The sequence below is a fragment of the Homo sapiens genome, chromosome 1 (assembly GCF_000001405.40).
Source record: "Homo sapiens chromosome 1, GRCh38.p14 Primary Assembly".
NCBI classification, from domain to species: Eukaryota; Metazoa; Chordata; class Mammalia; order Primates; family Hominidae; genus Homo; species Homo sapiens.
In genome coordinates this window covers 50,095,143-50,121,987 of record NC_000001.11, presented here as the reverse complement: position 1 = coordinate 50,121,987, position 26,845 = coordinate 50,095,143, and the positions used below count along the sequence as shown (strand labels likewise).

General features: G+C 37.7%; 1 protein-coding gene across 29 annotated transcripts in view, besides 1 other annotated feature; it reads right to left on the bottom strand.

Annotated features, from left to right (window-relative positions):
* The window catches only part of ELAVL4 (ELAV like RNA binding protein 4), a 155,718-nt gene that overhangs the window by 81,785 nt on the left and 47,088 nt on the right, over positions 1-26,845 (bottom strand). For 7 of the 29 annotated variants that reach the window (NR_136725.2, XM_011540894.3, NM_001324214.2 and 4 more), the window contains exon 1: positions 12,024-12,155. The exons of 3 other annotated variants lie outside the window; for them this stretch is intronic. Coding sequence is in view for 20 of the 26 variants with exons in the window: in NM_001324213.2 (NP_001311142.1) it covers positions 12,024-12,047 (24 nt within the window). In the remaining 6 variants the exon portion in view is untranslated. Of the gene's footprint in view, positions 1-1,092; positions 1,238-1,971; positions 2,203-12,023; positions 12,156-12,789; positions 13,069-15,594; positions 15,758-16,037; positions 16,301-17,987; positions 18,080-26,845 lie in introns of those variants that run through there. 19 more of the 29 variants (XM_011540895.4, NM_001324212.2, NM_001324209.2 and 16 more) reach the window with 6 other exon arrangements.
* Positions 10,845-11,025: an enhancer, noted in NCBI's record as "heart enhancer 18". NCBI's record gives its function as "activates a minimal c-fos promoter by transgenic reporter assays in zebrafish embryonic heart {active_cell/tissue: heart(embryonic)}" and the evidence as "EXISTENCE:transgenic organism evidence [ECO:0001131][PMID:20075146]".

The following is a 26,845-nucleotide window of genomic DNA, read 5'->3' as shown; positions in this document are numbered from 1 at the left end:
TCATATCAAGAGCTCAAGAAATGAAAACTAATCTTATTATTTCTAGTCCCACCTCTAGGTCACATTCACTACTGATTATTGTCACTTTTATTATTACATTCCAGGTTTTGCTATGTAGCACAACCAAGGCATAAGGTTTCCTAGTTAATAAATACTTTGGTTAATAAAGAGCCCCAACATATATCATGCAGACATCAGTAGTTATCAAAGATGTAGGATATGATGCTTCATATTAAATCTAAAACAACTAGAAGTCATCCTTTCTTTAATAACTCAGAAGATACTAGAGATCTTGCATTGCATAGTTCTAAAAAAGCTGACTGTTATTTTTCCTTTGTATAATACAGAGCTCACTATTATCTAGACCAGTATTTCTCAAACTTTTCTGACCATGACCCAACAAAGTAAAATAAAAAAGTAAGGAACATATTGAACACCATATGGAACACCACAGCTTCATATCACAACTCATAACATAGGTAACTGAAGCAAAGATTCATGAAATAATACTAACCCTTAATAAGTACCACCCAATGATACTTTCTTTTCTATTTCATTCAATTCTATCATTCCATTGTTTTAATTTTTAATGCCGGTCGAGACCCAATAAACTATCCATAGGTAAAACTAGAATCTAGTAACTTACTAATATTATTATCCTGTCCAATAGAGTGTATCAAGGATACAATTCAATGGATCCTCCCATTAAGCCATGAAGTTGTATTCATTCTGTTTTACATATTAAGAGACTGAAGGTCAGAAAGGTTATGTTAGTTGGGCTAAATAGGCTCCTAGAAGTTGATGACAGATCCAAGATCCACAAGTCTAACTCTGTAGTTCAGTCTCTTTAAAAATCAGAGATAAAAACAAAACCCCCAACAAAAGCCATATTATGACAACCTAATTCAATAAACATTTTTTTTGAGTACTTACTATGTATTAGACATTGAAGTAAGAGAGGATTTGACATGATCTATGCCCTCCAGGGCTAACAGATGACCAGTCAAGACAAGCATGCTTTGGTACGTGTACTTGCAAGTTTGAAGTGGGTACATTTTTATACTGGAGAAAATAAGCATATTCCCCACTCACCACCATCTTCTCTCTGGCCACACATTATCCCACAAAATGAGCACTGGAGACCTGTTGGTGAGAGAATGCAGTGTACTCCTCTAATAGCACACTTCTTTACAATCTGAAGTAAAGTCGATATTTTTCCTCCTACTGCTTTCTGCCACTATAACCCTAAAAGCAGTCCTTAATGTGACTTCACCAATGAGCATCATCATCATAACATCACATTATGACCAGAAGAGTGCTCTAATGCTGATTCCCCTAACCAATGTCTAATTTAGAAGTATCTTTAGGGTGACTTCAACTTCTGAGAAATAATGGCTTAATAAAGACAGGTCTTGACCCTGAAAAAGAATTAAGAAAGGACAGTCCTCTGACCTAAGACATTCCATAGCTACCAATTCAAAGTCAAAACCAAGTCAAAACAACTGAACCTTCCTAAATCATAGCTTTTACCTATCTCTTTCTAGCTTTATCTTTACACAACATATGCTGCATTCACACCAGATTACTTACAGTTTCTTAAGTAGGCCTTGTAAGTTCCCATCTCTATGCCTTTATTCATATGATTCTCTCCATGTGGAATTCCCCTTTCTTCTAATTTTTCCATCTATCCAGTTTCCCTGGCTCTACTCAAATGGCATTTCCTCCATGAAGCTTGTCTCCTTCCCCCAACAAGAACTAATGTCTCCCTCTTTTGTACATTGTACCTCCTCTGCTGAGACACTGTCCACATCATTCTGCTTGCCATTGTCCTTGCTTACTATAATATATTTTAAATACTATGATGCTCCAGGATGCATCTAGAATATGGTTTATATGCAACAGACATGCTATATATATATATATATATTTGTTGATTCTCCAACGAAAAATTTGATATAGAAGAGAAATTACCTTATTTTTCCCCCAAGAAAAGTAAACTTTGGCTGAGCTGGACATATTCCCAAACACTCTGGAGCGAAGACTTCTGATATTACTAAACGTGCAAGCTTAGTCAAGTGGCTAAGCTTTATTTTCTATAAAAAAGAGTTAACAGTACCTGCCCTAATTACATTAAAGAGATCAAACTGACACCATAGGGCAAAAATTATACAAGGCTGAGTGAACATGAAAGATGATCTCTATGGTCACAGATCTGTTACAAGCAGAACTATGCTGAGAACAGCTGAAGTTCTAGAATGCGAACTTGTTCTTCTGTTCTTGGGAAATGGACATGGGATAGTTCAGGAAGAATACTGTTAAGATTATACCAACTGCAAGCCCATGCCTCCAAAATTCAATGACTGGAGACCTGTTTAATAGTTCTTACTAAAGCAGTTCTAAGCTCCAAGTCTTTTTTCTTCTCATGAAAAACTTCAGCCAGAAATCTAAAAAAAAGAAGGAACTGAGATTCAAGTATTGACCTAAATATGGATGAATTTTTAACTTTTAAATAAACAAACACCTACCTAGCAAGAAGGTCCTAAGAATATCCAACCTTCTCATTTGCCTGCTCAAATCAGTAAATCATTTCTTTTTTGTCCTTCATTAATAGGCATGAGATTTTCCAAGGCTAAAATATGGACAAACATCTTCTATACCATCCCTTCTCCAAAATCAAGTCCCTCCCGCTTTTTACAGATATATTTCTGCCCATACAAACACAGTCTAAAAACCAACCAAATTCTTCCAGAGAGCTTGCACATCACATACAATATGTATAGACACACACCTGCAAAATCCTCCAAAGATTCTTGGTGAAGACTTAAAATAGATTCATATGGAAAGAGAAAAGTTTTATTGTCTGCCTGTTCCATAGCAAAGGATCTTTTTCTTTTTCTTTCTTTCTTTCTTTCTTTCTTTCTTTCTTTCTTTCTTTCTTTCTTTCTTTCTTTTTCTTTCTTTCTTTCCTTTCTTTTCTTTCTTTCTCTCTGTCTCTCTCTCTCTCTCCCTCCCTCCCTCCCTCCCTCTCTCTCTCTCTCTCTCTTTCTTTTTTTAGCATAGGACCTGCAAAATGGCATTTGGGATATCAGATCAACTAATAACCCCTTCCCCTACTTTAAGGATTACATTGAAGAAAAAAATCGACTTCCCTTTATATCCTTCCTGTAAGCATATGAAGTAGAATTCAAAATCGGTGTTTCAAGATTGTGTTTTCAATTTGAATCTTGAATCCCTTCAGGACAATTTGTATTATTTCTTCATAACGGCAACAGGTCACAGCAACAGGTCCCCATTTAGAACAATTTGTGAATTAATTTATGGTGCCTATTTATTTATTTCCCCCTTCAGACCCTTGGGGAAAAGGTACAAAATTAGGTTTAACCTAACACCAGTCCTGACGCGACCCATTACCCCTTCCCAAGTGTGTGTAATCAACAACTACGCCAAGGCTTTTGTGGTTGTTTTCCTCTTTTCTCTCTCTCTCTTTTTTTTTCCTTCAAATGGGAGGGTAATGAATTGAGGGTCAGCATTCTGCTGACATCCTGCACATCTCTTCAGTCAATCTGATCACTTCTAGAGGTGTTCACACTGCCAAAGCCATCCATCATGCTGCCTTGCCAAGCAGAAGGAAAACTGATGGCAAGTTACAAAAATCTCATTAAGCCACTTTTTGCCTCAACCTCTTCACCATTCCGTGAGAAACAGAACTTCAAAGTTCAGCCTATTGGGAAAACAAGGGGAAAGGAGGAAAACAGCTGATACAGTGAAAAGGAAAAAAAATAGATCTGAAGTAAGTTGGTTTCTGGGAAAAAGTCAAATAATTTGCAAGTTACAATATACAGACAGCAAAGATGGGACCATATCAATTAAGCTCAGCCTATTTTTATTTTCTTTCTGGCTGACTTTTAACTTTCCTAACAGGCTCTTTCATGAAATTAAAAAAACAGCACTGGTTAAAATTAATTTTATCTTCATCGTTTTTCTCTTTTGACAACTAAATCCCAAGTGAATTCTAATTCCAAAGGAGATCATGGATACAGCTTGTGAAATCCTAGGAGGATGCAGAAAACTTAATAAAGCCATACAATTCCGAGGAAGAACTGAGGGCTTGTCTATATAGAAAAAAACAACAACACTGTGTGCCACCCTTCTTGCATGCTGGGGACAGTATGGAGACAGTGAGGGTAGCATACAATGTCACTGCCCAGGACATCTGGCATGGGCAGATGGGCCTCTTTCTGGGGAAGGGCTTTTGCCAAGGGACAGAAAGACTGACAGACTGAAAGAGACTTAACACCCTCAAAGCACCTTCAATTTTCAAGTCCTATGTATGACTGGTGCCTTCAAATACTGTTTCTCATCTGATTCTTGCAGAAACCCTGTGAGTTAGATATTGTCATCACCATTTAAAGATGAGGAATTGTGGCTCATGTTGAAGTAACTCATCTGTGATTGCCCAGTTAGTAACTGGAAGAGCTAGGATTCCAACTTAAGTTCAACTGACTCTGAAGTCCTTTGCACTTGCCAGTTTCTTAAGACAAAGAACAATCTTTTTAGAGGCTTGCCTGTACAGGCACACCGTGATGTTCCTCGGAGGCCAGAGGCAGACTCACGGTTCTCTGGTCTCTGAGATAGCCTTGCCAACAAAGGCATGGTAATAGCGGTATCTAGTAGAAATAAATCTAATTTTTCTACGTGTGTACAGGTCAATATAATATGTTTTTAGCCCCATCTGAACACAGGCCCTCTGGGTCCTAATCACAATAAGCAGGTTGCTTTTAAGATTAACTTTTCCACTAGAGAGGTGATTAAAATATAATCAAGCTAGAAAGTTATCCTCCCCCAAAGTCACCTAAAACAGAGAAACTCCAAAATAAAACCAATTTACATATTTTAGCCCAAATTAAAAAGTAAAAGCTAACGATTCCCTTTTAATATCCTGAATAATAAGTGCACATTTATGTAAAGCTTCCTTTGGGGAATGGTTACTATGAGGACAACTTTCCCAATATTATTCATAAATATCACTTTTGTTTTGGTGTTACAGTAAGAATCTGGACTTGTGGGAACTGTACTATCTGTACCCAGTGCATCAACAGAGATAATTAATGTTGAAGACATGTATAATACCAAGAATTTTGGATGTGTGGTTGGCTGCATTACAAAAAGTAAAATAAGAAAAGATAAGTCAAATCTGGTAAAAATCACAAATTTCAGGGACTTGGTCATTTACTCCCTTTTAAGTGAGCATTTTCCTAAGGAAAGCTTCATTAGTAAAGATGGCAAGTTCTCAGCCTTTCTACTACAGACTTTTAAGTAGCACTTAGAACTAAAGTTTATCATTAGAGCAGTATTTACTACTGCTGCATCTTCAAAGGGGGCACTTGAAAAAAAAAGTTCAACTCAGCCTGTTATTTTTCATGTACAAATTAGAAAGCAAACCTTTAAAGGGTTTAGACTGGCAGCTTAGGAAAACACAGAGTACTTTAGAAGCCATTATTGGCACATCCCACGGCACACCGGGGCTCCCAGCTGTCTACAACACATGACACACACACACACACACACACACACGCACACACACACACACACCACAGTATTTAGATGTATATGACAAAGTAACTATGATTTCTGCTCCACTAGCAAACTTCCAATTTGGCATGCCAAAACGGTCACTATCTGTTCAGATGCTCCTGGGAGGTAACAGAGGAAAAGGAATTCAAAAAGCCACTTACATCAGAAGCAAGGAGGCAAGACATTCGTGTTTCTGTAAAATTAACCAGTTTCAGCCAAGCTTCATGGGCTGCTGACTGAAAGACAAGTTCCTTTCAACAGTCCAAACTTCTATATTTCTTCCTGAGGCTGAAGATGTGGACACATGAAACCTTATAGACTAAAATGTCCAAAAGATCTCTTATTTCTATCTTTTGGAGTCACACCTAGATGCTTATAAATACAGAAGGAAAGACATTTATGTACTTGAATGTTCCAGCAGACCTTTTCTTACTATTTGACACAAACCTCATTGTGCAATGTGCCACCTTAAAAATCCCTCACCCTAACTTCATCTCCAATCACAGGGACTTATCCTCTAATTAATTATGTCTTCTGATCATTGTCAAAAGAAAAAGAAATGGTGACCTTGGATTCCACGTTCCAAAGAAATGCACATAGTAAGTCCTCAACAAATACATCTTCACCCAACAAGGAATGACAGTCAGTCTCTATTATGAACACTGTTGGCAAAACAACTTTAAGGGCTAAAGGATAACTCATAGAAGCAGGAGAAGATTCAATGCTACGAAGTGCAAACAGAGGAAACCTCCATGCTGTGTTTTTTTCAGAATTCACCATCTTCGCTGGGTCATTTCTCTGCTTCCCCATAGCCTGAAAAAAGAACTAAACTTCCTATGGAAAAAATATTTATGAACTATATTTTATAGTTTAAAATGAGTAATTCAAAAATTAAGCTAAAGTTTACATGTTATTTTTCAAATGAAGAGTCCAAGGGAGGTTATTTTCAGGAGAGACCTAAGACATATATATTTTTTTCATTAAAAAAATCCCATATGCTAGTTTTGCATTTTACTTTTGGGGTTAAAAATAAGACTTTCCAAAAACAACAAAAAACAAAAACGCAAGCACAAAAATTACACTGACCTTATTTCCTCAACACTTCTACTGCTTTCTCAACCAAAATTTATTTAAGGATTCCTTTAGGGCTCTCAGCATTTCTTGATCCTTGTAGAGGGGGATCTTTATTGAGGGGAGAAATACCTTTGGTATTAGATACAACAAGGATCTGAATATGAGCTCCCCTAAAGCAAAATTGGTTGGTCTTAAAATGTTCTGAGCAAAGACAGTCTCAAGGGTGGGGTGGAGAGAAAGAGACAGCTGGAGCTAGAGTGAGAGACAGAGAGAGAGAGAGAGACAGAGAGACGGAGACAGAGACAGAGAAAGAGAGAGAAAGTCACCAGCCTATTAAGAGCCCTGACACTGCGTAAGTTATTTCTTAATTAATGTGCAAGGGAAAGCATAAATATTACCATTAAGCAGAGTGGATGTGAACATCCAAAGCAAGCTAGCTGGCTGATTGCTGTCTTATTTTTTTGTTCTTTTTTAACAATTCCATTTCCAAACTGCTCAATTCCTAACACTGATGCTCCAAAGCTACTGTGAATACACTGCCTGAATACTTAATGAAGTAAACAACAAACAAAATGGCTTATCTGTGGTGCCCCCAGCTAGCATCCCAAACTGGATATAATTAAAGGTGTGAACAAGCAAGCAAGGAAGTAATGGACCTGCAAAGTCAAGGTTCAGAGAAATTATCGGGCATCTTGCACTGCACCAGTTCAAATTTATCACTCATTATCTCCTATACCGGAAAGATGCAGACCCACATGTTGGTACTCTTCTACACTCTTGTCTTCCAGCCTTTTTTTCCTTTTCACTGCTAAATAGCTAATTTAAGACAATTACTGCTTGTGACTCCCACCCACCCACAGATCACCTTTTCTTTTTTTTTTACCCTTAGAAAGCCAGTGACCTATAAAAGCCCTTTACCCCTAAAATACGTGGAGATTTCACAAATATAAGGATGTTCCTAATACACACACACTTGCACACCAACTTACAAAGCAAAGCACAGATGTTAACACTTCCATCTTACCGCCTCCTTATTTTTACCAATGGTAAAGACTAGGTTCAAATGCCCTCAAAGAAAAACATCCTGCCCACCGCCCCCCATACATATACACATATCCATATACACTCACATACACACATTTTAATTCATACCCAGGCCCTTGATTGAAGGGATGGCTTTTAGCTCACAAACATTGTTATGCATTTGCACACTTATAATTTCTTAAGTGGCAGCTAAAGAAAGGTGTTTGGTTACTAACAGACTGCAGGGTCTGAATATATATTTTTTAATGAATATTTGAAATTTCATATTTTTCTAATATGAGAACTCTTGGAGTCATGAAGAGAAACCAGTTCTTATGGGAAGCAGCCCAGTTTGGTTTTCTCTCCATTTATAGATGCACATATACTTGCAAGTAAGTGTGTATACATGTTTAGTAATACCAAATAAGGAAAGCCTAAGACAGGTGCAGGAATCTGCAACACACTTATACTGATACACACAGAGTCTCTCTGCTTCTCTTTCTCGCACACACACACTTTCCACATATACATTACATGGATGGGGGAATGGATAGTGGTAAATAAAAGGTTGACTTTACTTTCAAAAGGAGAATTGACCAAATCTGTACAACATGGCCCATCGACTGGACAATAGTAAGATAAAAGCTTGAAAATGTTCATGTCCCTTCCTAGCCCCAAAATTCCCAATGACATTGGGAAAAAAATACTGCATTGCAGCATTTGCCAGCGCATACTCGTGTGTTTAGCATCCTCTGGCCAGCTCACCAACAAATGTACATATTAAATGTCTAGGCATATAAATTAACTGCCTGGTGGCCACAGATCATTGGAGCTAATGAAGAAATTTGTCAAGGCCAAAGTACTTTCGTCTATGTATGATGACCTCTATGAAGACAACCATTTCTTACTTGAGGTACATACAGACAATTTGTTTCTTTTTTTAAAAAAATTAAAATAAGGTGTTAAGATGCTCAGGGCTAAATGAAGCAGCATATCTCCTCATGGAAGAAATAGTATTTGGCCTACATATAGGAAAAGAACCCACCTATAATAAGGAAATAAGTGTAAAGGGAAGAAATCAAACCAAAAAAAAAAAGACTTACTCTGAGGAAATCCCATTGTTGTTCACAGTAACTCTAACTTGAGAAAAACATCTCAATTCATCCACAAGTCCTTTTAGAGATATTGAACACACACATACAAAGCACCATTCAAACAATAATTTCTAGATGTGAAATTTCAAATAGCTTATACCTAATAGAAATCCTAAGTTTAAAATATCTGAAGTCCAAAGTGTCCCAAATCCAATTTCAAGACTAAGTTTAGAACTAAAAGGCAAATGCGCAGTTCATTTTCTTTCTCTCTCTCTCTTTCTAAATATTCTATTGTTATTATCTCACAACAATCTGGCCTTCCTCTCATAACAACACCCTAATTTTCAAAGGACCAAGGAAGGAGTATTGGGAGAGAAAAAGTTTTAAGGTTTTGTGCAAACCATCAAACAGAAGCAAGGCCATCTACATCTGGCCAGGAGAATGACTTGAATGAATGGCAGGTAAAAATGAATGGGACTGAGATCACAAATGAATGGTTAAGTTGTTTGTTAGCTTTTTAAAAAATGAGATATTAAATTGTCTTGTAAATCAACAATTCTCAAAGTAATTTTTCAGCTACTTCCTCATCTATGTTAATTTTACCCTTTCAAAAATTTAAATATTAAATGATTTAGCTGTTATGTTACTATGAGATATATGGACATTCTGATCATTAAAACTGCTACTTAGTCAGATGTTTTTTGCAGAAATATTTCCAATTGGATTTTCACTTCTTAATAAATGCACATTCAGCCTTGTGCTTCCATAAGAGCACAACTCCACATGAAGGTAGTAGGCATTAATATTTTTAAGACAAAGGATCGAGAAAGGTCAGCATCAGAACCACGTGTCTTTTTTACAACCCAAGCCAAGATGACACTTCTTACAGAAATTATTTTCCCCTAACTAAAAATTGCCAGAAAATTCTCAGAAAATAAAAAAAGAAACTATATTGGAGACTTAAAAAAATTCTATTTTTTTAAAGGTGACACAGGCTTATGCACTCAACATATGGCCGCAAGTTTCAAGTGTATGACAAAAAATACAAGTTTATTTATTTTTACCTCAAGAGTGAAAATAAAATTTTTAAATCCCCTAATAAGAAGAGAAAACAAAAAGACGCATCTGCAAGGAAAAAAGAATTGGGGGGATTTGCAATGAAGAGAGCAAAAATTAAGTGTACTTTCAATAAAGCCAATTATATTTCCTAATCTTTTAGTGTATTTCAGCATTTTTAAATCTCTCATTTTTGGGCTTACAATTAGCTCCCTGATCATGCATCTATTTTGTCCTTTAGTAAAAAACCCTAACAGATCACCATTTCAATTGTTTTTACGCTATCTCCTGTTCACCCAAATACTACACCTTTCAATCCTTATGGTACCCACCATCATGAGAAAAAGAGACTATTAGTAAAGCACATTTAGAGAAAAAAGAGAGATGCTTGTCACCCAGTGCACACATGGGTCCCAGACGTCCAAAGACACTAATATAAAAATCAGCTTTTCACTCAGTTTGTGCCAAGACCAGAATCAGGACCAAATGCCAAATGGAAGGCAGTGGTTATGAGAGTGCAAGCCTGATGGATCCTGTGACTGTGGGCATGGGGAAAGAAGGAAAGCAAAAAGCTCTTCATTTATTATTTTGTAAAGTAATTTCTACTGAGGAAAAAAATGAGAGGTACAATGAATTCCCCTGAAACTATAGTATCAACATCCGATTTAGTAAAAATACCAAAATCACCTAACCCCAAATCATTGCTTAGGGTAGATCTATTCTACCTATATTTTTCCTATGAATATTTGCTGGAAATTTCTAAGAAATCATTTGCAGAACCTATCAGCTGTGGGAGTTCACTATTATGCTTCCGTCAACTTCATTCAATATAATTTACATTTTTTCAAATGGTCTCACAGGATTCCTTGCGATTTTTCGCATGTACAATTTCACACCAGGGAAAAGGGGGAAAAAGGAAAAAAAAAAAAGCAAGATTCCCTACCCTCCCTTCCCCCTCACCTCCTCTCTGGGTTTTTTAAACAACAACAACAACAACAAAAACCACACGCGCACACACACACGCACACACACACAAAAACAGGGGAGACAGAACAGATGCTTAAAAATAGATTTCTAAAAATCACTGTAAACCAGAGTTAGAAATGTAATTAACACCTATTAATAACGAATAATTAAAGTTGGGCTGGCCACAAAGAACAGCAAAGATAATCGAGGTCCTGTCCCCCTCCCCTTTTTTTTTACACTGTTTGCAGTGTGTTCTCATGATAGCCACCTGCTCCCTACTCGGCTTCTCCTCTGTTCGTTTCCCCGGCAACCTTTCATTGGGTTTTCCTCCCAGCTATCGCTTTCAGTTGGGCTGCTCGGTCTAATCTTATTTGTTTTACACCCATCAAAACAAGCAGCCAGACAAAGGCAATCCTCTAAGAATGGGAAAAAGACCACAGCTTTGTTATAACATCTATGCAGAGCAAAAAGTCCTCCCCAGGCTTTTCTAGGGAAAAATAAGTAAGATGGTTATGAATTTACAGCCTGCCCCCATACCCAGCTCTGAAACCTTGTGAAACCTATTGCTGGTGAAAATTCAAAGTCAAAGTGGGCACTCGTGGCATCTAATCATGCCATTTTGTGCCATATCTTCAGGGTCAACATCAGGCGACAGAAGCGGCACTCAAGGAGTTTCCCTGCTTCTTTTTTCAGAAAAAGATGATGCTAAAAATAGATTTACTACTTCGGCAGAAAGGTTTTCCACTTCCCCTTCCACATCCGAAAGTCCTGTTTCACAATTGCATCGGCTGGTACTGAATCTCACCTCCTCCACCCCTCATTCCCATCCTTCCCCATCACTCCTAGCATGAGACTGAAAAAGAAATGTGCCTTTAACTTTAGCAGTCGTGTAATTCCGTTGAAGGCTCACAGAGGCGGTGGACACGCCAGCCAACAGTGACGGTGACATTGATTGTCAAAAAAGACACCAACCTTCCTTGGCTAAAATGTGTGTTTGCTGGAAGAGGCAGTGTGTGTGCCTTGTGTGCATGCAGTGCCATTACACTTGGAGATGGATTCTGGTTTTCAGAAAAGAGAAATACTAATAAACACACACATACATACACACACAAACGATCAGCACAGTGATTTACGATGCACAGTCCAGCATCCTTACACATACACACATACAAGCACACACACACACACACACACACAGGGCTGGGACCTCCAGGCTGCCTTCCTCTTTTCACTTACCATCTTCAAGCCATTCCACTCCATCTGTGATCAGAAGAAGATGGACCCTCACACAGTGTGTCAAAAGCGGAAAGGAACGTTATGTAAAAGCTGACATTCCTTCTTACAGAGCTGCTGCCCAGAGAAGGAAGCAACAACTCAACACGCCAGGCACTGCTACACATACAAGCCGCCTCCTCTTTTTTATGAGGTCATGACAGGAAACTCTTTGAAATACAAGATGCAGCATTTACTGAAGCCCAAATAAATCACTCTCTTTGCCGTTTTGACTGCGCAGTCCCCCGAAACACAACTGCCCATCTCAGTGTTCAGTATCCAGGAGCTGCCTCTCGAGGTTTAAATTTCCAGCACGGAAATTGAGAGATTCCTAACCCCGCTGCATCCACCCCCAGCCCCACAAAACCCAGGCACGTAGACAAACCCCCTCTCCCTTACAAAAAAGAAAACCCTTCTTTTGCCATTATGTCTCAAGTAATATAACCTCTTTCAATAAACCAGCAATTATTTCAGCCCTCCCCCTCCACCCCTTGCCTTTATGTTGAAGGGAAAACTGACAACGACTTGCTAAAAATGACAATCTTATATCCCCATTGCTTTTCAATAAAAGGACCTACCCGCACTCTCTACACAAAAGAGATAGTAAATGTAGGAACCAAACAGCAGCACAGAACTAAACTCTTGTGCAAGCATAAGACTGGTCAAGGTGTAGATGCTTTTCTTCCCTCCAGCAACACAAACAACAGATTATAAATCTAGTCATACCTACCATAACCATTCTTATTGGCAAATATTGGGTCTCGCAGAGCTTCGACTCTTCTGTTAAAATTTGCAAAGATTTCAGAATATATATTTAAAATGACTACTATTGTTATATATAATTAAAGATCCACAAAACACAGTGTGGATGATTGTAAAGCAAATCAATTATTTTTGGGGGGGTGGGCGGGGGAGAGAAAGAAAAAAAAGAAAAGGAGCAGTGAGCTGAAACCCCCGATTCTAGGATGTAGATAAGAACAACTGAACAGAGCCTTGCTGAAATTGGCTCGAAGCTTCCCCTTTTTACATCCATTTATGGGACCATCTGTCAGCCGAAGCCTGGATCTGATTGGCTGGGGAAACGAAGGGAGGCGTTGCAACATCAGGTGCTATTTAAATTAGCTACTGCCAGATTGACGATGTTAATGATTTGGTGACCTCTACAACAACAGAGACCAGATTTCTGAACTGCTTCTTGTGTCTGGTAATTAAGGCCCGGCTGAAGCAACAACAGCCATACTTGTATTTTTACCTTTTCCCTCCTCCCAGCTCAAAAGTACTGTAACAACTGCAGGTCACTGGAGGCTTGCAAACCTAAACTAACAGTGGGAGGGTCCTTCTTTTCCCATCCTGAGGGCCGAACCGTGCCACCTCTCTGATGGAGGGCTTTTCCACCGTAGAATATTTTCAACCACCTTATCTTTCTAGACAGTTGCTTTCTAGCGAAATGCATATTTAATGATCTGCCTGTAGGCTTAAAGGTACAACAAAAGCACTTTAATGTGCTAATTCATCTACAATTTAACTTTATTATTTCCAGATATTGCTGATTTTTAGTAAGTAATGCTCCTTCTCCAGCTAACATGGCCAACATTTCAAAAGCAAGCAAGTTGGGGATTAAGCTTGCTCCGTGAACTAGGTTCATACAAGTTTGTCTCAGAAAACTATTTCCTAATAAACAAAAAGAAAAAAAATGGTGGGGGTAAGGGAGGGGCAGCTGTCAGCCTCTACCTTTCTGCCTTCTGTCTGAGCTTTTCAAAACTGAGGATGATGAATGATTTACTTAAATGAATTTATTTTTCAAGTTGGATAGGAACATGATCTGAATTTTTAAAAATCCACTAAAACACATTCTCCTACCCCTTTAGAGAAAGGTAAAACATGCTTTTGACAACAGCCTCATTTCAAAACCTGTGCAGAGTGTTCATTTTGCTTAACTAAATAAGTGATTTTGCTTCTCTCCTTCAAAGGGATGTCTTTTTTTCTTTGGCCTCTTAAGAGATTTGCAAAGAGACATTTAGCAAGTGTATGGTGAGGTATACAGTTTGTCTGCCTATTTACACATTTAACAACCTCTACACTACCAAGCCTTCAGTAGTGTATTTTTTGTTCTGGTTTGGGTTTTTTAAGTGGCTTACCTGAGAAGTTCATGCTTCACACCTATGCAAAAGACTAATGTGTCACTATTTATTTAACTCATAATTTAATCAATTTGTTCTTCAATAAATACACAGTGGTAACACATATTACCAAATACAAAATTCAATGTAATCTTTAATCTTTGACTAGAGTTGACAGTGAGACAGAACTAGGCAGAGTAGACATACAGACCAAAAAATAAGCTATATTTCTGGGTTTCAAAGTCCAAGAATAAATGGGTTTGTGAAAAATTATTAGGAAAGAAAATAACCTTACATTTTTCAAGATTAAAACTATTCTGTCCAAGATGCTGTTTCATGAACACACACATATAAACATACATATATATTCACACTTCAGAAAATACAGATACATCATAAAACAATATGTGTTGGGTACACTGCATAATCCATTAGACTTGAGTATGAATACGTTCAGCTATTAGAAATGAAAATACATGAAATAGAAAAGTACAAATGTTAAAACTATAATTCCTTAAGGTGGAACAATACTCAGTTAAGTAAACTTTTAAAGTAATTTCTTTAGCAAATGTATAAAATGTCCTGTGAGTCACAATAGTACTACAGTATCTGTTGAACTGTGTACTGAGGGTGAATTCACAGGTTAAAGTGTTCTAAATGGTTCAGCATATATACACAGAGTAGGTATGTGTGCCCCAAATCAACAACATAAACTCTGAGTGCAATTTCACCAATATTAAAATATTGTGAAAAGTAAACATTAAGACAATGCTGACAAACACAAATAAAAACAGCTCACTTGGAACAAAATATTTACTTAGATTTCTCTGGAGGTTATAAAAGATAAAAATTTTAAAAACCCTTTTCTCCCATCCATACTAACCTCAGTACACTTATTGAACCATAAATTAACATTAGGTATATTAAAAGGTATTCTGGCCACTTTTCCAAAATAGTAGCTGTATATACAGTATAAATAACTAGCTGGTTTTGCTAGGCTAAAAATTCATGCATTTTGTATATTGATCACTTTTCCACAAACCTCCACTTTAAAGTCTTTCAACAGAATCCTCAAACAAATGCACAAATGTCCTCAGAGGCCTTTTCTCTAAAGACAAAGGCAGAATCCTATTGTTGGGAAAAGTCAACCTTATTATCGCATTTCCAATAGTACAATTCATCTTTCAGAGTGAGGGGCTGACCGCTACATCAGTGATGTGACATTTGTAAAGCAACAGATTCTCAATATATTATCTCAAGAATCAGGCAGGCGAGTCTCCCAGTCATGCATGATTTTTTTTTTCTGCCACAATCCACCACCACAGAAAGAAACTTGTCTCACTCAAGCAGCTAAGGCAACCTAAAAATGATATCCCAGCACTGTGGGGCTGCCAGCGCCGCTGTATTCCTCTTACCATAAATGAGCAGTTTCTTGACTCATTAATGACAATTTCCCTTAAAAGAAGTAATCTCATATCAGTCAGCCCCTTGCCACCATGCACACATCCCAAAGGTTGCAGATATCTCAGCATCAGTCGCCGGCAGCCAGCTTTCCCACACAGAGTCCAGATGGACTGTACCAGAAGCCAATTCAGCGTTAATAACTACCTACTCCGCGCAGTGGAGAAGCCTTACGTGGCACAATGGGCTAGGAAACAGCAGCCGGCTGAAACTGCAAATAAAAAAAGACAACCAAATTCTCCAAAAGCACCAAAAGGAAGGAACAGAAATGGAAGCGTGAATTGTATTTCCTTGACTTCCATGAGGCGGAAAAAAAGGAATCCTTCATAAATATAGGGAAAAAAAAGAAGAGGGGGGAAAAACAGATGCTGCCCAGAAAAAAGTGACAAAATATTACCTCATTATTTAACAAAGCAGCATTAAGCGTCCTGCTGATTTCAAACATCTTGCCACAGATTTTGTTTTAAGAGAAACAGATAGAATCCTTTGCAAAGCACTCCGTCTGCAAAGGGTTCTTCAATTTTCTTGCGCACCACGGAACAGTCAATATATTATTTCCCTAGAGTTCGTACATTAAAACCTCTAGTCAGTGAGCTGAATTTTCCCCTTATCTCACACACAGTAGACTCCTGTTATATGTACTGCTCTCTTTGCAAGAGCAGCCTGCCCCAAACATGGCTGGTGTTTAAACTACTCTTTAAAGTAACAGTTCACTATATAACCACCAGGTGGGTAGAGTGCACAGATTCAAATGAACCATCTTAAAAGATTTCTTTTTTTTTTCCCCTTGGAATAGCTTTTGGGTGTAAAATGTGACATGAGAAACACTAGCATCTTAACAGGCAAGATTGTCTCTCACTATATCTTGTCAAAATAAATAAATAAAATTCCTTCTCTTGACTTAAAGCAAGGAAATGAAACAAAACAAAACAAAACACTGCCACAAATTCTAATAAGAACTGCGAAGAATGAAACACAAACAAGCTTTGTTTCATTCAGCAAAGGATGAACAAGGAAAATACAATCAACACAGAGCAATGGGGAAGGCCAAAAACCTCATGAAAATATTTCTCTTTAGCAAAAACAGAAAAATATTCACACACAGTGATGAAAACTCAAAAGTGTGCATGTGGATGAAGCACATACAAGATGGAGGCAAGAGTTTAAGGGTGCAACTTTTCTTCTGGGTAGAAATTAGGTTTATTTAATGTGGGTCTTTCCTGATAAGAAATAACTGAAAGCTTAAAAGTAAAGACACCGAAAAAAAATACAAAATATTAAGCCTCTCTTTTAAAAATACAATTATATGAATAGTGATAAACAACCACAAGAGCAAGCCAATCACATGTCTCTACCCATTGCTGTTCTTTTTCCCGAAGATCTGCCTCGAAGTGGAACATTTCTGTCGTATACTATTTTGGATGTATAGCTAACTTGGCATCTCCTTTGTATCACTCTATTCCAATTAATCTGCTCCTCTGCCAAGAATAAACAGAATGTCCCAAGTTGAAAGCTCCAAGTGATTGGGGGTATGTTAAAAGGATATAGAACCACCTGAACAAAAATAAATTACATCACTTATATTGTTATATGGCCTGATTTTAAGGAGGATCTTATTACTTATAAAGCATGCAACACCATTCTATGTTCCACATGTGTCTAAAACAGAAACCAACACACACAGATACCTGGGATTTTCTTTTCTTGGCTGGACAAAATTAAAGGTCTGGAACCTCCACATTTTCTTGCAAACACAGGTGTTGACAGTAATATTTTCCCAGCCCATCCAGGCCGTATTTAGCCATACACAATAGTGACTATGTCCTTCATCTTTAAGTCAAGACGGCATCACTTAATACCATTTAACCTCCTTGCATATATTAAGTTTCAAGTGACAATTTTTAACTGGGGAGTGAGAAGGAGGAGTTGCTCTCATCAAATTCTGGTTGTATGAAATAAGCTAATTTGTACACTCACCATATGTCTTAAACACTAATTAAAAAATGTCACTTTCTTCAAACATTAAAATGTAATCAGCCTAGTAAATAAAATATTCTCAAGTTTTCTTGCCTTGGTGCTAATTTAAAGAGTGTTTATCTCAAGGTAACCTCTCTATTTTGATTACCAAGGAAGACTTTTAATTTGAAAAGGGTAAAAGGGGATACTGGGGACTGGGGGGAGAGAGAAGAGAAAACCACTACTGTATGAAGCTGCACAAAGGAAAATAAGATGAAGCGGGTTTTTAAGGACCCATAGTCTTGTTACCCTAAGGCAAATCCAGCCAATCAATACCACCCATTGACGGTCTACCATCTGCCAGGCTATCCAGTGATGTGGCTAAACAGACCTGTTCCATATGACTGTAGCCGGCTCATTTTCAGTCGATTAGGGCAGTTCCAGAGCATTCACGTGCAACAGCACAAAACTCCAAGTCAGACTGAGCCTCTCTCTTCACACCAGTCCCTCCGAACACAGCTGCAGACCTTTTCCTCCTGTTCCGGCTGTCTGGATTACCTCTTCTTGCCCCTCAATTGAATTAGCAAAATGGGGTGGGAAGGTAGAGTGAACAGACACTCACATATCCACACACACACATATAGATAATTGCTGGCCCTTCTTCACTGTCATGCAGAAATCAGGAATTCCATGTGCTCTGCCCTAATATGATTATAGCACACCATTTAAATAGCGTCATCAGTGACTATGACCTGACATTTTCCTGTGGTTCAATTTATTTTCATCCTTTACCTCTTCCCTTGAAAAATAAACCTAGACTGCTGGCATTTCCTTCTTTAGGAAAAATACAATCAGTCTGCCCAGAAAATGGTATACTATATGTAAAAGCTTTTGAGAAAATTTAAAGCTTAATTTTCCTTTGTTGAATTGTGGTGTTGGTTTCTGTCTTTTTTTTTTCTTTATCATGTAGAAACATTAAATCAATTTTTATAGGAAAATGCAAACATACTACAGAGGCAAGAAAGATGCACCAGACTGATGTGAAGGAGTCTATCAGAAATTCACTGTCGAATGTTCTCTGTGAGATATATGACCTGATAGTCAATAATGCCTTTCTCCTTCCTAAGTAGTTTTGTCTACTACAGATTGTGGGAAAGCTAGAAGAATGCTACTGTGGGGGGAAATGTGACAAATGGATGTCTAACCTGTCTAAATCGCCAAGAGTTCACCTGTGCAGGTAAATGGACCTAAGAGTAGATTCATACTTCATCTTCCTGCTTTCTCTTCATATTCCTAAGCCTTATGCAAGAACAGTAGCTGAAAGTAAAAGTTTCCTTTCCAGAGTCAGTGTATGCTTACTTTTTCAAATGTGCCTTTGACCATACTCTTAAAGCACTAGGATGTCTTTCTGGGAAAGAAAATTTGAAGTACAGGAAAACTATCTTACTTACAAAATTCTGAAAAAAAAAGGTAAATACACATTTATCCAAGCATCTGATTTAGGTGGAATGGCTGTCTGGACTTTTCCCTGATATATTCTTCATCATAACCCCCAAAAAACTCAGCAGGGTCAATGTGAAAACACACAGAGATTTCTGAAGATCCCTGCATTAAGGGATTTGGGGCCTCTTCATATCAGTTCAGATGAGCTTTACTAAAAATAAAAAACCAAAACAAAGAAACAAACAAACAACCCTGGTATATGTATAAATTTTTATAAATCTAAGTGCACGAGCAGGTAAAGTATGGAGTAGCTATTCATACCATTAAAGGATATAGTGTTTGGTCAGTTTAATAAATTTTTGAAAATGACTTGATATGGAATTTAAAAAAATTCTGGACTCATTTATAATTCTGTAACTAATAATAAAGGAATAGATGTAAAAGGCAAAGAAGGTACATCCATGGAAAAAGAAGGGAGGAGGAGGAGAAAGAAGGAAGAAAAGGTCAAAGGGAGAGGAGGGGAGGGGAGAAAGGGAGGAGAAGAAGAAATAACGAAATTAACAGGAATTCTTTGACTTGCCAGTTAGGGCAGAGTTTTTATTTTATTTTATTTTATTTTATTTTATTTTATTTTATTTTATTTTATTTTATTATTTTATTTTTGAGATGGAGTCTCGCTTTGACGCCCAGGCTGGAGTGCAGTGGCGCCATCTCGGCTCACCGCAAGCTCCGCCTCCCAGGTTCAGCCATTCTCCTGCCTCAGCCTCCTGAGTAGCTGGGACTACTGGTGCCCGCCACCACACCCGGCTAATTTTTTGTATTTTTAGTAGAGGCAGGGTTTCACCGTGTTAGCCAGGATGGTCTCAATCTCCTGACCTCGTGATCTGCCCGCCACGGCCTCCCCAAGTGCTGGGATTACAGGCGTGAGCCACCGCACCTGGATGAAATTAACAGGAATTCTAAAGCACAAATGAAAACGCTATATTTTACCGGGAGTCTACTGTATACCAAACACTGTATTAGGCACTTGACATACACAATTTTACTCAACCCAGTAAATTGTCAGTAGTGACAATTATAGTATCTAAGCATACTTCTAGAAATGTGTTTTCCTTATCTAAAAGTAAGATATCTCTTCCTTTATGTCACAGAAGAATATGCTTAGTAAATATTTGTGTTTATTAATTAAGAATTTTTCTTTTTTGGTAGAGATAGGGGTCTCAGTATTTTGCCCAGCCTTGTCTTGAACTCCTGGCCTCAAGAGATCCTCCTGCCTCAGCCTCTCAAAGTGCTAATATTATAGGTATAAGCCTCTGTGCCCAGCCTTAGTAAATATTTGTTGAAATCAGTGAGAAAGATGGGCACAGACTAGAAGAGAAAGGAAAGGGAAGGTGAAAGTCATGCTCAATTTTTTCTCAACTAAAAAATAGCAAGATTAAAAAATTTAAAAAATATTCTTTAAAAAAATTTTCTTAAAAAGATTTCTTTGTGACATGCTTTTAGCTAGGTATGTCCTCAAGATATCTCATTTAATCTATTATTATAATCAGGCTGTAAATTTGGAATAGGAGAAATACAAAAGATTAAAGCTGGAAAGCAAAGCATTTTAGAAAGCAGGATGAGTACCTGATTGGGTCCCCAACCCTACCCGTTTTTCCTCTTTTAAACCTGAAAAAACCCCTTACATACAGTAGTTGCTCAACAAGCAGTAGTTGAATTAAGTTATATGTCCTTATTTCCAAGTAGTGCTGAGTTATGGGGAATGAACGAAGATCAATAGTCCCACTCATTAACACTTCAAGTACTATCCCAAGGCCCATTTTGTTTGATTCAACTAGGGGTGGCTGAACATCTCCTTAGGGAAAAATGATATGTTAGGCTCCATAAGCCTCAATTTCCTCATCTGTAAAATGGGCACAATAATACTTCACTTATAGTTTGTTGCCAGAAAAAAAAAAAACTTGGTGGAGGCATCACTCTAAATGGCAGCAATTATTACTAATATGTAGAATGGGGAGGAAATGCATAAATTTGTATTAGTTTCAGGATAATTCAGTCTTGTTGAGGAAGATATGATATAAAGACTCTCAAAACAACTAGAGAATAACAAGAAAATCATAACTAACAAAGGCTGAATGGTCTGTTCCAGTTCTAATAAAAAAGTGCCTGCTGCAAATCAACATTTACTTAATCTTGTGAGCAAAGTTCAGTGCTAAATTATTGGTGTGAACAATAAAAAGAAATAGAAGTCATAGTCCCCACCTTCAAGGAGCTTAAAATCTGATTGGGAAGGAGCTTTCCTTTTTATGCATGAATCCTAATAGCCTAAGGAAGGATGTAAAAAGAATACCAAAATTAAGTGTTAGAGATAGTTGATAATGAGGATGAGATCTGGAGTGATGGGGAAGGCTTCGTGGGAGAAGCCTGAACTGAGGCGAGATCCAAAGAATGATAAGAATTGGCTAGGAAAATGCAGAATATTTTTCATATAAGAATAGAGGTGGGGTAGGGGGAAAGGAAAGAAATACTGACAGCCATCGCATCCTAGCCAGAACCCCTATGAAGGCTCCTCTGAATCTATTCCAACCTCCTCCATTTTTAAAAGCTATAAACAGAGGGATGTTATGATATGACGACTGTGGGCGGGCAGACCTCTTATTCAGTACGTTCTTTATAAAAGGAACCAGAATTAATATTGACGGAACATTCACTGTGTGTTGAACATTATGGTAGGTGCTGTGCCTATAAATCTCATTTAATCTCACAACTCTGAGATTTCCAATAAGAAAACTAGAGATTACATAATTTAACTGATTTTCTCAAGATCATGTAACTAGTAAGAGGCCAATTTAAGTTTCATGCTTACGTATGCCCAACCTCAGTCCACAGTCTTTTCTCTATAACATACCAACTTACACAGAAAAGTGTGAATCTAAAGATATTTAAGTCTTATTTTCTGTGTTACTCTATACTCAAAAACTAACATTCAAAATAATGTCTTTGACTTCTATTGACATTTAAAACAGTAACAATCAAAATAATCTATGCCTGTAAATTCTGTATTCTGCCACCAGGTGATAACAGAACCTTGGTCCTATGAGGATTACAAGGGAAACATTTTGTCTACATTATTTCGTGCATGTGCTATTCCATTCTCCAGGCTTGGAAGTGGTGTAGAGAGTGACTGATCTTCAGATGAAATTGTCTGCTAAAGTCCCAAAGCATTAATCTTTACAAATATTTCCAAATTTTATTTATTAAAAATCCACTGAGAACATAATTCCAGACTTCAGTAATTTTCAAACAATTCAATTACAGATTGCATTCAATGGATTATAGTTCATTGTTACTTTCTTTCTTTTTCTTTCTTTTTTTTTTTTTTTTTTTTGAGGCGGAGTTTCGCTCTGTCACCCAGGCTGGAAGTGCAGTGGTGTGATCTTGGCTCACTGCAACCTCTGCCTTCCTGGTTCAAGCAATTCTCTTGCCTCAGCCTCCCAAGTAGCTGAGATTACAGGCATGCGCCACCATGCCCGGCTAATTTTGTATTTTTAATAGAGACAGGATTTCTCCATGTTGGTCAGGCTGGTCTTGAACTCCCGACCTCAGGTGATCCACCTGCCTCGGCCTCCCAAAGTGCTGGGATTACAGGCGTGAGCCACCGCACCCAGCCAGTTCATTGTTACTTTCACACTGTACTGTGAGCTTGCATGGCAGAAATTGTACGTTATTTGCCTTATAACCCCAGCACATGGAATAACAGTACCTGGAATATGGTGGGCACTCAAGAAAAGATATAAATTATTGATTTCAAATAATTCAGAAAAACTTTTGAACCAACTGCTTAGGATATAATTATTTGGTGGTCAATGCTCTATTCACTAATACATAACTTTCTTTATCAAGTCATCCTCAATGCTGACTTATTATAAAAAGCCCTTTCCTGAGGTTGGTCACCAGCAGAAGCCTTAGATCAACAGCCCACGGCTGCTTTTCTTTCAGTGGTCAGGCACTTCCCTTCTGCCTTAGCCAGGGACATTCTACATTTATTATAAGCCCTGCCCTACTTGGTAGTCTAGTTTTCAACCCTCTTATGCCCAGAAAGGATGCTTCCTTTCTCTATGAGAGGCAAATAAAAAAATGTGAAAAACAAGAGAGGCATGCTATATAACTGTCAGAAAGAGGCAACTCTCCACTTGACCCTTTTTAGTTCTTCCCCTCTCTGACTCTAAAGCTGGGGAAATGATTTAACTACTTTTAAGCAGAAGAGTAAAGTTACACATTAATGCTGAGTAGCTCATTTCCCGTAGCAACCCCTTAGCAACAGCAGCTTGAAGTTCAAAATACCTCTGTGAAAAGGATCACATCTTTAATGAAGATGAGTACTTTTTTAATGTAAGGTTTTTGAACAGAAGTTTTAACATTACAACACCCAAAGCCTTATTTGCTACAAGTGCTTATTTCATGTTAACCTTCCTTTATGATATTATGAGGTAACCACAATGATGCTAGGCTTCTACAAAATTTGAGTGTCTAGAAAAGCCCTGGTCCTTCCCTAAAATTACTCACAAACATAACTTTTCATTTTTTTAACCAAGTTATCATTAATCCTAGGTCATTATAGAAATTACACTTAAGTTATTTTAAAAGGGTTATTGATATTGAACTCACTATTCAGTCTAACCACTTGCTATTCCTCCCTTACTGAGAAGAGTGAATAAAGAGTATTTACTAATTTTATTATTTGATACCTACTTTGCCCACTTCATTATCCATAAAATGGACAGTGGGATAATCAAATAATCATCACATTGATGATTTTTCCATTGTCAGTGAAATAAGAATGCTTGCAAAAAATTTTGCTAGCCTTCAAAAATCCTATGAATGTAAATGTGTGTCATATATGTTATGCATACCATTAAAACTTACATCTTGTTCAAGGATTTTGAAATGCTTACATCATCTTCAAGGTTTCACAACTCAAGTAATGTAAAAACTCCTGCTTGAAATTTTTTCTTTATTATTTGTTAGCACATGGGTACCTTGGGGCAAAAGGAAACAAAACACACAAGGACTTAGAACAGTAATCTTAATGGATATCTTCACTATTAAAAATTTATTATCAATGTATGTTTGCCAATTCCATGATATGGATAGCTAAAAGACAGATTCCCCCTATATCTTTGACGTAGTGTCAGTAGTTAGCCAAACTGAACCATCTACCTAACATGAATTTGTACACATTTGCATGTGTAAGAGAACAGAAGAACATACCTAGAACAATGGGCCTTATACACAGTAGGTGCTTAGTGCATGTTTGTGAAAGTAAGATCCATTTTAATTCACTAGGGAACATAAAGGAAGAGCCAGGAGACATCAAGGCCAGTTTCATCTCTGCTACTAGTAATTCTATGACCTCAGGCAAACCACTTCTCCTCTCTGGACCAGAACCTTCTTGAGTAAATAAGAAATGAAACTAGATGATTCCTGAAGTCTCTGCCAGTTCTAATATGTCAGAGTTTATAAATAAGTAGTTTTTAATTAGCAAACAACATTTTCAGTAGGGTTTACTCAGATTTTCAACTGACTTTACACTGTAATAATGCTGGCTAAAGGGAAATTAAGCTTTTGAAGAAGATTTTTAAATCTGCCTCAAAGAAAGAGCCGGGGTAGTAGCATGTTCCTCTAATGCCCAGTCTGGTCACGAGAGGTTTTGTTTTTTCTTTCTTTTTGAGAGAAGGTCTTGCTCTGTCACCCAGGCTGGAGTGCAGTGGCATGATCATGGCTCACTGCAGCCTGGACCTCTCAGGCTTAAGTCATCCTCCCACCTCAGCCTCCTGAGTAGCTGGGACTACAGGCCTTTTCCCCAACACCCAGCTAATTTTTATTTTTATTTTTAGTAGAGACAAGATCTCACTATGTTGCCCAGGTTGGTCTCAAACTCCTGGGCTCAAGCGATCCTCCTGCCTTGGCCTCTCAAAGTGCTGGGATTACAGGCATGCACCACTGTGCCTAACCAAGCTATTTTAATAAAATGCAGAACTGGAGATGGTTGGTTAAAATCATTAAAACCATGGGCTTTTAAAAGTCAGGGACCAGGACCTTGATTAAGTCCAAAGATACTCTCTGAATTTTGTGTCATATTTAAACTGGGGACAACAATAATGCCTAAACTTGTGAGGATTAGATGAGATAATCCATGTAAGGCATGTATTGTGGGGTGTAACATGCTGCTACTTACTCAAAAATGTTCACTATTTTTTATTAGGTTGAAACATGAAATTGTTTTTTAGGTTAAAAGCAGTCAAACGTGGTCAATTTCTTATGGTTTGCCCTATGTTCTGTTACTCCCCTGCCTAAAAATCTTTCTAAGATCCTTATTGCTTTTTTCAAGGCCAATTATTCAGTACGGCATTCAAGGCTCTTTAAAATTTTGTCTTTATTTAAGTTTCCTGATACCTCCAAGACATTCCTTTCCCTATACACAGCTCTAGATATGACCATCTATTCTCTCACAACACTTGTCTTTATGCCTGTAATTTCTTCCATCTAGAATGCCTTCTCTGTATGGAAAATCATATTCATCCTTCAAGGCCTCAGCCTCACTAAGCAAAATGATCTTCTTTGTTATCTGAGCTTTCATACTAGCTTGTTCTTTCTGACTCCACAGAACTCATGTCAGAGCATTACCACAGTTGTTTACGGGTCTGTCTCTCCCACCTGTTTTCAAGGTACTCAAGAGCAAAGACTGTTCTTATTTGTCTTTGTTTCCCTCCAGCTGAGCACAGTGGCTGTCATAGTTGGTGCTCAATAAATATTTGCTAAAGTAAAATAAATATATTCATATGGCAGGCTGAGATATGGCCTCTCTTAGAAATACATGAAGAGTAGATGAATCCCAAGGATGACTCAAAAACTTTTGGAATCCACCTTTCCACAAAATCATTTTTTTCTGTTGTGAGAAAGCTCTACCAACGGAAGGTATTATTCCTCTTAGAAATGTTCAAGTGACTAAAATCAGAAACTCGAAAGTGGAAGTTGCTCTTCAAACTCAACAAATCCATTGAGCTCATGCTATGAGCTTTCAACACAGGCACTGTTTTATTGATAGAGATGGGGATGCTCTGGCTACAACCTTATTTGGTGAATAATGTGACGGTTTGCCCCCTGAATTTGTGCTTCCATAGCTGGAAAGTCTTAGTCACAGAGAACTCCAATAGGTCTGGATGGTGTGAAAGCTATGGAAAAGAGGAAGGCACTGCTGATATTGTAGCCCATATTCTCAGATCTATACAACCAGGTCTCTGGGAAAACCCTAGGAAGTGCAAGTACTTAACAGAGTATCTATATAGGCAGTGACATTAGTTAATATGTGTGGCTGTATGTGTGTGTGTGTGTAAAAATTATATATTATATAAATATAAAATTAGTTTAAAAGGAGACTATATAGTTTTACACTACAGGAGTATCAGGCTATTTAGCTAATTTGTAGCTTCAGATGATTTATTTTCAACCTTTTTTTTCTTTTTTATAGCAAGTGCTTTTTTCTAAGCAAAATATTATGAAAACCCTCAATATATAAACAAATAGAACAGTGCTGTTCTCCTAGTTGGGGGAAGGGTGGGCCTCATTAATGCCTACCCCACACCCACGCAGTTCCTAAGGAACTCAGCAATCAGTAAAGGGACTTATCTAGTCTAGTATAAATAATACTATAATGAAAGAAAAGTGAACTGGGAGTCAAAAGACGGGTTTGAGCACCAATGCTGCCGTAAACTAGCTATGTGACCTTAGGCAAGTCCCTGAGCA